The sequence below is a fragment of the Homo sapiens genome, chromosome 3 (genome assembly GCF_000001405.40).
Source record: "Homo sapiens chromosome 3, GRCh38.p14 Primary Assembly".
NCBI classification, from domain to species: Eukaryota; Metazoa; Chordata; class Mammalia; order Primates; family Hominidae; genus Homo; species Homo sapiens.
In genome coordinates this window covers 122,072,569-122,086,401 of record NC_000003.12, presented here as the reverse complement: position 1 = coordinate 122,086,401, position 13,833 = coordinate 122,072,569, and the positions used below count along the sequence as shown (strand labels likewise).

Here is a 13,833-nt window from a genome sequence, read left to right as displayed (position 1 = left end):
CCAGTAATGGGGTGGGACAGGGGAGTGCAGAGAGGATGAAACAGGAAGTGAGAGGAGGGGTCCACAGTAGATGTTGGAGAGCAACAAAGAAAAAGACTTATTTCACAACTTTGTGTAGAATGTTAGTGGTAACCGGAGTATCAGGAAAAATGCTGAGAAGTTTGCTGGTGCCTCAGAAGGTTATTTATTGAGGTAGTCTTTCAGGCAAACATTTGCTACATCTACTCAGTGTCAGACTTGTTCTAGAGATTGAGGGGTTGTAAAGACATGTAGGCCTTGGTCCCCCACCTGGCACTAAAGAGAAGAAAAAGTGTCCACAAATAACTACAATGCAGGCTCCAGGGCCAGTGTGGAAGGTGGTAGGTAGTCCTTGGCTTCTTGTGAGGTATACAAGAGTTCTTACCCTGAGCAAAGCAGGGGACACCACAGTCTCTGTGGAGGAAGGATTAGGTCGGCCTCAGCCCAGCAGCACTCAGGGCCCAGCTCATTGCCTTCTGCCGATTCATACTTGTGGTTGGATAAGCCAGGCCTGCTGGACTGGCACGTCACCAGCTCGCTGAGAGGAGAGTAGAGCTCCAGTGCAACATCAGCTCCCTGGGGCCTTGGTTTGCCTCTGGGTGTGACATGCTGCACAGCGTTACTTCTCAGAGCACCAGGACCTGAAGTTTCATCCTCTGCATTCCGCTGTCCCACCCCATTACTGGCTGCTGCCACCCCACCTCCCCTCATCCTGCCCTTTGCCTGAACAAGAGCCCACACGCTCCTTCAGACCTCAGACACAAAGATACCTCTTCTTAGTTCCTTCCTTTTCTGCCCAAGTAGTCATATTTCCCCAGAGCTCTTCTAGGTGTGGCTTAGACGGTACACAGTAGTGTGCACCTGAAGCCTAAACCCACGCTGGGAAGCTGGTGCCTGTCCAGATTACAGCAGAGAAGAACTCTCTGTACCTGGCACACAGTGGGTATTCGAGCAGTGTTTGCAGAATGAACAGCAGCTCAGGGCAGAAACCCTCTTGAGCAGCTCAGGGCAGAAACCCTCTTTGAGATACTGGGAAGAGTAAGATAGGCTTATTTCCTTCTTTATAAAGTTTCTGAACTACAAAATAAGAAGGTTACTGGGAATCAAATATATTTGAATTTTAGCAAGGCTTCTGACAGAGTATCTTATGATATACGTGACAGCAATATGGAGAAATGTAGGATTAATATTGATACAGTTATTACTCATTCATTCATTTGCTATTGGTTCATTCATTCATTCGTTTCTTCCACAAATATTTATTGAACCAAGCATTGTGTTTGGTGCTAGGAATATAATGAGCAAAACCAGAAACAGTTCCTCTTCACGTGGTTGCCTACAGTTTAGTAGAAAAGCAAGATAGTGATCAAGTAATCATACAGAGAAATGTAAAACTAGCTATGACAAGTGCTACAAAAGAGAGGTTCATGGTACTTTGAGAGCCCATAACAGGACCAGCCTAAACTGAGATCTGAAGAATGATATAATAGATTAAAAAGAAACACATATCCTTGGCTACTCCTCCTCCCATGAAGAGGTAGAGTTGGATCTCCTCTCTTTGAATCTGGGCTAGCCTGAGTGACCTGTTTGACCATAGAATACAGTACAAGGGATATTCTGGGACTTCGAGAGCTTGGTCATAAGAAGCCTCACAGCTTCTACCTGTCTCTCTGGGAGTACCTTATCTGGAGTTCTGAGCCACCACGTAAGATGTCCCACTACCCCGAGACCATCATGCTGGAGAGGACTGTATAGCTGTTTGGGTCAATGGTCCCAGCTGAGCCTTCCACCTATCCCTGCCAAGCCACCAGACATATGAATAAAATCTTGGATCTTCTAGATCAGGGGTCAGCAAACTACAGCCTGTAGGCCAAATCTGGCTACCACCTATTTTTATTAATAGTTGTACTGGAACACTGCTATGTCTATTGTAAATTATTATCTATGGCTGCTTTTGCAGTGCAATGGAAGAGTTGAACAGCTATGATGGAGACTGCATGGCCTGCAAAGCTGAAAACATTTTCTATGTGGCCTTTCATAGAAAAAACTGCTTGACTCCTGCTCTAGATCAGCACTGTCCAGTAAGAATATAAAACAGGCCAGGTGTGGTGGCTCATGCTTGTAATCCCAGCACTTTGGGAGGCCGAGGTGGGCAGATTACCTGAGGTCAGGAGTTTGAGACCAGCCTGGCCATTATGGGGAAACCCCGTCTCTACTAAAAATACAAAAATTAGCTGGGCATAGTGGCGGGCACCTGTAATTTCAGCTACTCAGGAGGCTGAGGCAGGAGAATCACTTGAACCTGGGAGGCAGAGCTTGCGATGAGCAGAGATCTCGCCACTGCACTCCAGCCTGGGCAACAGAGTAAGACTCCATCTCAGAAAAAAAGAATACAATACAAGCCACAATTACAAGCCACAGATATAATTTGAAAACTTGTAGTAGTCACATTAAAGAAATTAAAAAGAAATAGGTGACATTAATTTTAATGACATTTTATGTTATCTGATGTATGTGAAATATTATAATCTCAACATGTAATCAGAATACAAATTATTAACGAATATTTTAAATTTTTTGGTGGCACCAAATCTTCAATAATCATGTGGGTGTTTTATAGTTATAGCACATCTCAATTAGGACTGGCTGCATTTCAGGTAACCAGTGGCTACCAAACTGGACAGTGCATCTCCAGATCAGCCCATCCATCAGCTTAATAACATCAGGTGATATCAATTGATGGCATGAGGAACAGAAAAATCAGCCAAGGCCCGCTCAAATTCCTGACCCCAAACATTGTGAGAGAGGGTAAAGGATTCATTGTTCTAAGCTGCTAAGTTTGGAGACAGTTTGTAACATACCAAGAGGCAAACAGAACAGATTGAATAGGTAGGTGCTAAGTAGGTGAAGGGCTTGGGAGTTGACAGGAAGAGTTCTCGGCAAAGGGAACAGCATATGCAAAGGCGCTGAGGCAGGAGGGCACGTGAGAGAAGGTACGAGGAGGTCCCTGTGGCCAAAATGAAGAGACAGGTGAAAGACAAGGCTGAAGAGGTGAGCAGGGGCCAGATCACACGTGTGTTATTGGTCAGTTAAAGATTTCAGTCTTTATATGTGAACCACCAAAGAAATTAGAGCTGAGACTGATATCATCAGATTTGCATTTTGAAAAGATGACCATGGTTTCTGTGTAGCAAATGGATGATAGGGAAGCCAGGACAGATGCAGGAAGACCAATCAGTTGGCTACTGCAATTGTTTGAGTGAAAGAAGATGGCTGTTTGGTCTGGGATAGTAGCAGGTGAAGTAAGGGAAAAGTGGATAGATCAAGAAATATTTAGAATTATAATTAACAGGATATGGTGATAGATCAATATGGGAAATGAGGACAAAGTATTGTTTGATTTATTCATTTATTCATTTGACTCAGCAACTGCATCATTCTTGTCTAAAAGACTGATCCCACAGTGGATGCTACAAGACTCTGTGTTTCACTATTTCACTTTTATGTATTTAGTAAAACTACTAATAAAAGCAACAGAAATCAAACTTATGCTGTGCAGATGGCACAAAATGAGACAGATAGCTCAAAAATGAGTTAGCTGAATTAACATTCATAAAGCCTGAAAAGAGAGACTAATACTAACATGATGAATCTCCTGAGGGTAAGTGTAAGAATCTGTACTTCAGTTTTGAAATAACAACTGTGTAAGAGGAAGAAGTGGACACAGGAGAAATAGTCTATCCATAGTAAACATAAAAATCACATAAGTGTTAGTGTGGTATGGCTAAGTAAATTTCATCCAATCCTAGTGTAGGATTCATTCACTGAACTCTGTGCTAATCAGACCACATCGCTTGTGGTATCACGTTCTGTGAGGTCAGTTATACTTGAATGACACTGACAAATTCGGTTTATCAAGGGGAAGGGCAGCAAGGTTCACTAGTGAATAATGAAATTATGTCAAATGAAGAACAACTAAAAGGACTAGGGTAATGAACCTGAAGAAGAAAAGATTGCAAGTATATGCTGGGTGTCTGCAAATATGTAAGGGCCCTTCCATGGGAGGATACATACACTGTTGCTGAAGGGCAAGTAGTTCCAATAACTAAAAGTTACAGGGAGCCAGATTTCAGTTCCAGATGATGGAAAACTTTTAATAGAGAGCTACAAGCAATGACTGGATTTTCTTGTGAGGTGATAAGCTCCCTGTCACAAGTACTATTCAAACCAAAGTGGGGGTGATAACACAGAAGAGACATTTTAGGAGCGAATCTCGAATTGAGTAAGTGGTTGAACTCATAACTTTTCAGTTCACCTCTAAGATTCTCATTACATTTCCAGGAATAAGGAGAAATAAAGGAGAACATCTGGACACTCCATCGCTCTCACCCTGAGTCAGTTCCTCTCATTTTTAACACAGTAGACAATATGGTACATTTAAAGGATCCCTGTCTGGGTAGAGTCTGCTGAGCTGGCTACAAGTGATCCAGGGCTTCAGAAGACATGGAGAACAGCAAGCACTCCTACAGCTTGGAAGGGTGGTGTAAAGGTGGTAATAGTTGAGCTGAGCTTTGACAGGTGAGTCAGACTTGGTCTCAGAACTGTACCCTGCATGTTAGAACTTGCACGAGTTGATTTCTGTTATAGCAGATGAAGTTCCACCCTGTATTGGTTTTAAGTAATTAAGTCCACTCATTCTGATACTCCCACTTATGAGGGCTGTTAGCCTGGGCCACTGCACTGTTTAACAGTCTTCCTCTGAGAAACGCTGTCTTCCTTTAACAATAACAATGGTTAATTTCCTAGAACTCAACGTGGTAGCTATCGTCCTCTGTCCTTGAAAGGCTTTGCAAGCTTCCAATAATTCTTCCCTAGACAGATTCCTGATAATATATAACCCTGCATCCGAGGCATCTGTTTAATGGGTCTCAAAGAACTGATGCTTCCGAAAGAACCACTTTTTAGTGTTGATTGAGTTTCACTGGATAAATATTTCAGCCATATTTTTGATACACACATAACATCAAGTATAACCTTTTTGATGCTTTTCATTGGTATATATTCTTTGACGACTTTCTGAGACACAATCAAATAACAGTTTTTAAGGACACATGGAAATGGAGGAGTGACCATGGAATTTTTACAGGACAGTAAGAAAAGCTGACTGGCCTGCAGCAGAGGTTGTCTTTGGATAAATAATGGGAGATTAGTTTCTATAAGTAAAGCAAGGAGCAAGATAGCCTAATAGGGCATGGAAAGTCAAATAAGGAATTCATATTTAATTTAACAGAAAATTGGAAGTTTGGAATTAATAGTTTGGGAGCAGAAAAATGGTGTAATGACAGCTTAAAGAAAATAAGCCTGTCAAGAGGTGACGGCTGGTATCAGGGTGATCAAGAAAGCCAGTATTACAGGCTCGTCGACTTGAGATGGTGAGCCTGAAGCAGTAAAGAGGCAGTCGGCATGATGAGGAAGGGATGGGTGTGAGGGCTGCCTCGATGGAACATGAACACTTCTTGGTGTCTGGTGGACAGAGGACATGACTGGAGGTGGAGACGTCCTCCATCCTGAGCTCTGTTTTCCTCAAGCTCCCACCAGCCATGTCTCCTTCTAGCTTAGGCTGGATTTTATGTCTGACTTGGTTTCCAGTCTCTCCTTGGAGCAAATCCCCCTTATTCCCCATTTGTGGAGATTTTTCTGACCGAATGCTTGTTTTCTTTCGTGAGTTGTTCTTTCTGAAACTCATTTGAGAGCACAGTGTTTCCATACAGACATGAGGAGAGCTGCATCAAGGATGAGTAGGTGCAGAGAAGAAATGTCTTCGCAGATTTAGAAGGAGCAGAGGGTGCTTTTATCCACCTTCCAATATTGTAGGCAACTGAAATATTAAAATGAAGAATGCGTTCCCCTCACTGGCCTAGAAGAAGGAGCATAGCATGGCGATAGCATTTAGCTTTTCCGGTCCCCCAAGAGCAAATCTGTGTACAAGACACGCCTAGTTCTCCGAGTTGTATCTAGAATCGAAACTTTCTGAATCAAGGCACACCCTATTTCAAACTATTGATGAATTTGAGAACGATTTTTTTTCCTTTTTGCCAAAAAGGTAAGGATCATGCAAAGTTTCACAGTGCTTCTTCTAGTCTGTGCTCATCCACTCGAGGGCTCTGACTGTCAGGTATGAGGCTCATAGAACTCACTAAAAGGGAGCCATGCCCATCCTGGTCCCCTAAGGTAGCCTGATTCTTGTTTTCTCAGAAACAGCATCATGGTCAAAGAGAGGAAGCCAACATTTCAGGGCCACAACTTGAGGGGCCTTCTCTCCCCATACTGTGCACCAGTCCTACCCTGCTGCTTGGAATTCCCACATTACTCATTCCTTGGGCTAAGGCATTTTTTGAAAGCCCCTGTTAAAATGCAAATGCTAGCTGGAAGGAAGAGGGTTTTTTTTGTTTGTTTTTAAGCCATTAGGCATTAGGTTCAAGTTAATTTATCTAAAAAGGACATGGAACTTAGAAAGGAATCATATCCGTCCATGAATAAAGGAGGACCGATAGGGAACGAGATGCTTCCCGGTGTTGAGGTCTCAGGGCCGTGATGGGGAGGTGGAAAGTGCTGAAGACACACTTTTCTTCCTCCACACATATTCAAAATGGCGCCTATTTCCCAAACCTCAGCCCGAGTGTAAGCCAATGTACAGTTCGGAAACAGCACTGTATAGGAGAAGAGAGGAGAGATAAGGGCCAGTAAAGGGCTGTGTGCCCAGCCTATGGCCCTGTCCTTTCTCCCACCCCACAAATACTCTTACCTGCCTGGCCATGAAAGGTGGATTGCCAGCACTAGAATGGACTGTGGAAAAATGCCCAGGGACCTCTCTGCCACTCTCTGTGCTTGCTTTTGCTCTAGTTTTATCTCTTTGAAGCTTCAATCCCCTGGCCTAGGGACCCCTAACCTCAACTCCCACCTCAGTCTGATTTTTGAAACATGGTATTTCAACCTTGATTTTTCTGCTGAAGAATCTGGCTTGGCTTATCTCTTCATCTTTCTCATGTTTTCTCCCTACCTGCCCTAGCCTCAACTCCATAAAATCCCATCCTCACCCCCACCCAGGAAGAGGCATATGAAATTCAAGAAGAATAGACTAACCAAAATATCAAATGCAAAGGCTTGGTAATTAATCAGCTGATATAGTCACATAGAACAATTTCCTTCCCTTTAAAGCACTATTGCTATGTAGTCATGTTTAGTGTGATTAAATTAATGTGATTTCCCCACTAGGCTAGAAAACAAGAGTGCAGCTTTTCCTTATGTCTTTTATGCTACCTGTTAAGTCCCTAGTACCTGGAACATAGCAAGCACTTAATAACTATATTAGGAATAAATAAATAGAGATTTATAAAAGCTTCCATTATACACAGGATAGCTCACATAAATAATATTAACGGTATCTGCAGCAGCAGACATAACACGAACTGCAAGTCTGAGCACATAAATAGACGCATTTTAGTACAGGGCCTTAGTCCCAAGATTGAGGTTACATGTAAGATAAACAGTTCATTTCCTTCATTATTACAGTTTAAGGGGAGTAGGAAGTTCCCTTTGTCAAAAACTATTTTCACCTGGCTCTCCAGAACCTTAAATTGCTATTAATAGAGATGATATTTTAAGCCCGTTTGCAAATGCAAATGCAAATAGGTTCACCGTATGTGAAACACATTATGTTCAATCACTTGCTTGGGCTCTTTTTTGACCCAAGAATATTTCTTTTTAAATTAGATCTTGGTCTCTGGTGCCAAGTGGGGCTAATATTGGGATGGGGCACTTGGATGGGAAGAAATATTGGGGAAGGGTCTCTGGACCAGAGAAGGGAAAGGTCAAACAGGAAAGCCAAGTAAGTCCATTGCAGAGAGGCTGCAAGAGGAGGAAATCCCCCTTCTCTGGATTTCCCACTGGCACAGGGGACTCAGGCGAGGCGAGCTGACATCTTTGGACTGCTTCTTCTAGAGCAGAGGCTGCTCGGAGACCCCAGCACCCCAAAGCCAAGAACAGCTGCCAATTATTTGGTAAGTGGCACCTTCTATTTCCTGCCTATTTTGTCTCTTAGCTCACGAAAAACAGATGAAGGGATCTGGCAGGAAGAGACAGATTTTTGTAATATCCCACCTCCAATGTAGTCAATCTGAGAAGCAAACCTGATGGTCAGAGGTTTTAAGCATGCTCTCTGCAATCCCTTTTACTCATTCTCTGGCCGGCCATTAGCACATCAGCATTTCTGCCCCAGATGCAGCTTGCAGCTTTATCTCATGCCACTCCCTAGGCGTCTGAGCCTCCACAAACATACCTGTCACAAATGCCTGTCCACTGTAGCTCCAAAAAGAGACCAGATGCATAAGCACAGCAGCATTCCCAAGGAACACAGAAGCAAGGTGGTAAGAATAAACCAAAAGGAGTATTTGCGAGCTCCCCGTACCTCCTAAGGCTCCTTGTAGAGAGAGAAATAATGCCAGGACTGACGGTAGAACTCAAATACAGAAAGGGGAACTGACTAGAGAAACAACACCACAGCCAGGGACAGTGCTCTTGCTTGGTTCCAAATAACTTCTGCCGGCAGGTGGGCATTTCCACTGATGAGAATGACTACAAACGTACCCTCGGAGCATGAGTGTAAAGCCCTGGGAAACCCCCAAAGGGAGCCCCATCCACAAACATGACAAAGACACCTTCCCTGACAGATTCCCAGAGATCCCAGAGTACACACAGCCTTTGAAGCCCATAGATGAAAATGCAGTTCAGTTCAACAAATGTGGGCAACCATGTGACAGGCACTGAGCTCCACGGGGCTTCAGAAGACAGCCTTCAATGAGTGAGGGCAGAGAGGCCATGTGCTTCACTTCTAGCCCTTCCCCAAAATCATTCATTAAGTACATCTCTCCACCCATCCTGTTAGAAGGCAATTGACATACACAACCTTCATTTTCAGATGATCCTAATCTAACCCCAATTGTATGAATCTAGAATGTTTCTGTTACCTTGGTACACTATTCCTGGAAGTGGGTGGTACTCTTGAGTTTGGCTACAAGTCATAAGCAGAAGTGGGAAAGGTGTGTAAATGCCCAGTAGATTTCTCCAAACCTAGTGCTTCAGCGGGGACAGGTTTCACTCGTATGTGATCCTCCCCCAGGTGCATGCCTCCTTTTTCTGCCCTGATCAGGCACTGCAAAGTCCTCTGCTCAGTGTGGGGGACATTTATGTGCCTCTGAGGTCTGTGGCACTTGAGCTTCAAAAGAGAGAAGCAGCACCCTCTGGGCATGCCTCCCTGATCTCTTGGAGGCTAGCTGTGTCCTGTGAAGCAGGAGACATTAAAAGTGACAAAGTGACAGTTTGTTGTTGACAGGGTTGGGGAGGCTCATCCACACAAAAGCGTGTGGTGCAAGGGAAGGGGTGTGGGTTTGGAACTGGTGGTCCGAAGTCCAGTCCTGGCTTGACCACTGGACCCTGGGCCAGTTATTGAACATGTTTGAATGTCAGTCTTCTCACTTATGAAATGTGACTCATAATCACTTCTTTGCTGCATTGTTGTGAAAAACAAAGGAAACCTTGCCTGTAAATCATGTGGCAGAGTATGCCAAGTAGTTATTTCATCTTCATTATTACTTTCCTGTTTTCTTTTCAGACTTTCCCAATTCTTACTTTGACCTTTGCACAAAGATCTCCCTTCTGTCACTACAGAGGTCTGTAAACAGGCCTGTAAAACCCTTCACCTTTCACCCAGGGCTTCTCAAACCCACAGGGCTCCCCCAGGGTCCAGGGTCTTGACTCACAGGGTCATCACTTCCTCTCAGCCATTCTATGTTCAGACCTTGGAAATTTCATCCTTCATACAGATAGATCCCACCTGGGGTTTTCCTCTGGATTTTACAATCACAGATTTTGCTGTTGTTTGAAAGGGTTCATTTGATTTTCTTATTGTGACATATGATCAATTACCCACCTATCAGAGCACAGGGGAAGTAACTCATATTTCACTTAATTTTCATGTTTCCTTCTTTTCCTTGTACTCAGCAGTCCAAATATAAGACAGGCTAAATTGAAAGGCTAGCTATCAAAATATTTGGAGTAGTATTCCCCAAACTTTCATCATTCTAGCTACTAGTACCACTTCATACTCATGTAAAATCTGTTTCATTATTTATATAGTATTTTTATAACATACTTTAAGTAAATCTATTTAGAAAAAAATCTTTGTGTTAATACTAAATTAGAAAGCAGTATCATTTTCCATAAACAGATCAGTAAAAATAACATATCACACTGCACTTTGGAGTCATAGAGACCTGTGTTCAAACCCTGCTCCACTACTTAATGCCTGTGTGTTCTTGGGGCAGTTATTTAACCTCTCTGAGCTTTGGCTTCCTCACAGAAGTAATACTAAATATCTCATAGGCATGTCATGACGGTTAAATAACATGGCATATATATGGTGCTTAGCACAGATCCTGGCAATAGTAGGCTCTTAAAAAACAAGTTGTTTTATTGTTTTCCCTTCCATAGCACTTCTTTAATCTACTTATTTCAGTTCCTATTTAGAGCAGCCTCCTCCAATGCTGTAACGTAGAATGATATTAAAAGGAGTAAAGAGAGATGAATGGTGAGGCAGGCAGCAGAAATGAGGGGGTGATATGGTGTCATGGAATTCTCTTATTCTCCAACTTAGCTAGAGTTGCTGGACTGTAAGGGACCTCAAAACTCATCATTCCAGTCTCTCACTCAAGCAAGGACCCCTTCAGTGTCATGACAGATGCGTGTCTAGCCTGTGCTTTCTTACTTGTCAGGTTGGGAAATTCACTATTAGAAAAGAGAGTTAACAGAAAAATGTCTTTTTTATAAATAATCCCCAAACTACTGCCACTCACTCCTCCAATCCATAAGTACCAGCTACTTGTCTCTGTCCTGTTTTCTAGAACTACCAGAACATATTATTTTATCCTTTTATATAAACCCTTCCAAATAGCTGAAAGCTGATTTTGTAAATTTTATTAATAGTCTCTCCTCTCAGCTAAATACTACAGTGTTCTCAACTGCCCCTCATGTCGATAGTCTCTAGGACCCTCACCCATTGGCAGCTCTGCCACCAGCACCCTTCTCCCTGAGTCAGTCAACCTACCTCCTAGCAGAGAAGGCTCTCAGGGCAGAACAGGCAGTGAACAAGATCACTTTTGTTAAAGAGTCAGAGATTGAATTAGCCTTTCAACAGTTGCAGGGGGTTGCTGACCACGGCTTTTTTTTTTTTCACATGTCAAGTCATATCGCAACCCCCTTGCCCCATCTTGTTTGTGTGACAGGCCAGCAGTCAGCCAATCAAAATTCCTCTGACTCCCACATATGTCATCAGAGCCAAGGGTGGAGTGGGGCCAACCGTGATGGTGGTCAACAGTGTTGTCCTTGGCTGACCAGAGGCCGAGCCCAGTGGAGAAGATCAGTTCCTTGTGTTTGGTGAGGAGGAAGTTGCTGAGGTTACTTCAGAAACTGCTTTCTGTGTGGGGCTGCTTCCTCCACTGCCTCATTCTCCAACGCTCTCAGGACTGAAGAGGCCAAGGCTGCAAGTAGAAGCAACCAGAGGAGGACAGGCTACACACAGTAGCTGGTGTGTGTGGGTGTGGAAGTTGACCTCACCAAACTTCACCAGAGAGAGTCCCCTGAGGACCACACAGTCAGGATCTACTCCATGTGCCAGAGCCAGAAACCCGTGGGAGTCTAGAAACATCTGAACATTTAGCTGAGTTTTCCAATTTCAGCCATCTGTTTGTTGTTATATGGAAGTGGCCTCCTGCGGCCAGTGGTCAAGTCTAAAAGCACTCTAGGAGGCGGTGCTGATGGTAGTTCTAATACAGAATAGTTTCCACAAATAATTAGAGCAGCATTATTTATTGAAACGTTAATTAGTGTTTGTTTTCTAAGCTTTCTTGATGCAAGGGGGAAAGCAGAAGAGATACAAGTTCAAAGGTTCATCCAGACTTTTGTGAAAGCCCATGGAAGAGATGATACCGGTGGCTTAGAGGTGAAAAGAGAGGAAGAGAGTGCTTTTGAAGTGCAAGAAGAAGGGAGGGCAGGGGATGGTTGTCTGGGTCCTGTGAGCAGTAGAAACCCAACTGCCCCTCCATCAGTGCTCCCGAGGGGGTAGCAACCTCAGGTGTGATGGCTCATGCCTAGAAAGGCAGCATGCTTTGCTCATGGGGCCCAGCATCAGTAGATATTCTCATTCCCCACTGTGGCATGGGGGCAGGGAGCTGCCGGACTTCACAGACCACTATGGGCTCAGATAGTAAGGGTGCCAATGGCAACCAGGACAGACTAGGGACTTGAGGCCCTTCCATCATTTTCCAGTTACCAGGTGAACTTCTTGAATTCTGACTGGGCTGCAGGAAAGGAAGGAGACTCCTGCATGACCCAGTTACAGTCTCTTTTTCAACTGGCAGGATTGAGGCTCACCAGTGGGATTAAGTTGAGTTAAAGGAAATTTTCAAAGTGATGATTTCATATATACTTGGATTCATGGACAGAAATTCATATCCTATGCATAATATAATCTATGTGAGAAGGGCCAGGATTTCACCGTAAACACAGTTCCTGAATTATTCTTAATTTAGAAGTGATGCAGCTCAGGACTGGGTTGTCTTCTTACTCCCAGCCCTGCTGCACAATTGCCAATAAAGGAGGATTGTCAACCACAGCCCCCAGGACTTGACACTCCCCTTTAATTAAACCCTGCTGGGTCCATAGTTCCCTGACATCACCTGAGAGTGAACATAAGACATTTGCAATAAATTTTTATTTTTACTGCTACTGTAAATTGTATTTTTAAAACCCTTCCTCCTTAAAGCAGAAACATGTATCAACCATTATATGAATAAAAAGACACGCCAAAGATTGGGGAAAAAATATTTGCAAAAGATATATCTGATAAAGGGCTGGTATCCAAAATACACAATGAACTCTTATAACTCAAAGATAAAAGAACAAACAGCCCAATTTAATAAGGAGCAAAAGATCTGAACATATACCTCACCAAAGAAGGTACACGGACAGCAAATAAGCATATGAAAAGGTGGTCAGCATCATACCTCATTAGAGAATTGCAAATTAAAACAGTAAGATACCACTACACATCTAGTAGAATGGCTAAAATCCAAAAATCTGACAATACCAAATGCTGCTGAGGATGTGGAGCAATGAGGCTTCCTGTTGCTCCACATCCTCAGCAGCATTTGGTATTGTCAGATTTTTGGATTTTACCCATTCTAGTAGATGTATAGTGACAGAGCCCTCAGAAATAAGGCCGCATATCTACAACTATCTGATCTTTGACAAACCTGAGAAAAACAAGCAATGGGGAAAGGATTCCCTGTTTAATAAATGGTGCTGGGAAAACTGGCTAGCCATATGCAGAAAGCTGAAACTGGATCCCTTCCTTACACCTTATACAAAAATCAATTCAAGATGGATTAAAGACTTAAACATTAGACCTAAAACCATAAAAACCCTAGAAGAAAACCTAGACATTACCATTCAGGACATAGGCATGGGCAAGGACTTCATGTCTAAAACACCAAAAGCAATGGCAACCAAAGCCAAAATTGACAAATGGGATCTAATTAAACTAAAGAGCTTCTGCACAGCAAAAGAAAATACCATCAGAGTGAACAGGCAACCTACAAAATGGGAAAAAATTTTTGCAACCTACTCATCTGACAAAGGGCTAATATCCAGAATCTACAATGAACTCAAACAAATTTACAAGAAAAAAACAAACAACCCCAT

The 13,833-nt window shown here is 43.2% G+C and overlaps 1 protein-coding gene across 5 annotated transcripts in view, besides 5 other annotated features; it reads right to left on the bottom strand.

Moving 5' to 3' along the window:
* CD86 (CD86 molecule) overlaps positions 1–13,833 on the bottom strand; it is a 65,775-nt gene that overhangs the window by 34,735 nt on the left and 17,207 nt on the right. For 2 of the 5 annotated variants that reach the window (NM_006889.5, NM_176892.2), the window contains exon 1: positions 8,357–8,618. The exons of the other annotated variants lie outside the window; for them this stretch is intronic. The gene's annotated coding sequence lies outside the window, so the exon portion shown is untranslated. Of the gene's footprint in view, positions 1–8,356; positions 8,619–13,833 lie in introns of those variants that run through there. 5 annotated transcript variants of the gene reach the window in all.
* Positions 4,499–4,548: an enhancer, noted in NCBI's record as "active region_20362". NCBI's record gives its function as "activates an Ori minimal core promoter by ATAC-STARR-seq in GM12878 lymphoblastoid cells {active_cell/tissue: GM12878}" and the evidence as "EXISTENCE:reporter gene assay evidence [ECO:0000049][PMID:35858748]".
* Positions 4,569–4,718: an enhancer, noted in NCBI's record as "active region_20361". NCBI's record gives its function as "activates an Ori minimal core promoter by ATAC-STARR-seq in GM12878 lymphoblastoid cells {active_cell/tissue: GM12878}" and the evidence as "EXISTENCE:reporter gene assay evidence [ECO:0000049][PMID:35858748]".
* Positions 4,749–4,838: an enhancer, noted in NCBI's record as "active region_20360". NCBI's record gives its function as "activates an Ori minimal core promoter by ATAC-STARR-seq in GM12878 lymphoblastoid cells {active_cell/tissue: GM12878}" and the evidence as "EXISTENCE:reporter gene assay evidence [ECO:0000049][PMID:35858748]".
* Positions 8,574–8,753: an enhancer, noted in NCBI's record as "active region_20359". NCBI's record gives its function as "activates an Ori minimal core promoter by ATAC-STARR-seq in GM12878 lymphoblastoid cells {active_cell/tissue: GM12878}" and the evidence as "EXISTENCE:reporter gene assay evidence [ECO:0000049][PMID:35858748]".
* Positions 11,367–11,706: an enhancer, noted in NCBI's record as "active region_20358". NCBI's record gives its function as "activates an Ori minimal core promoter by ATAC-STARR-seq in GM12878 lymphoblastoid cells {active_cell/tissue: GM12878}" and the evidence as "EXISTENCE:reporter gene assay evidence [ECO:0000049][PMID:35858748]".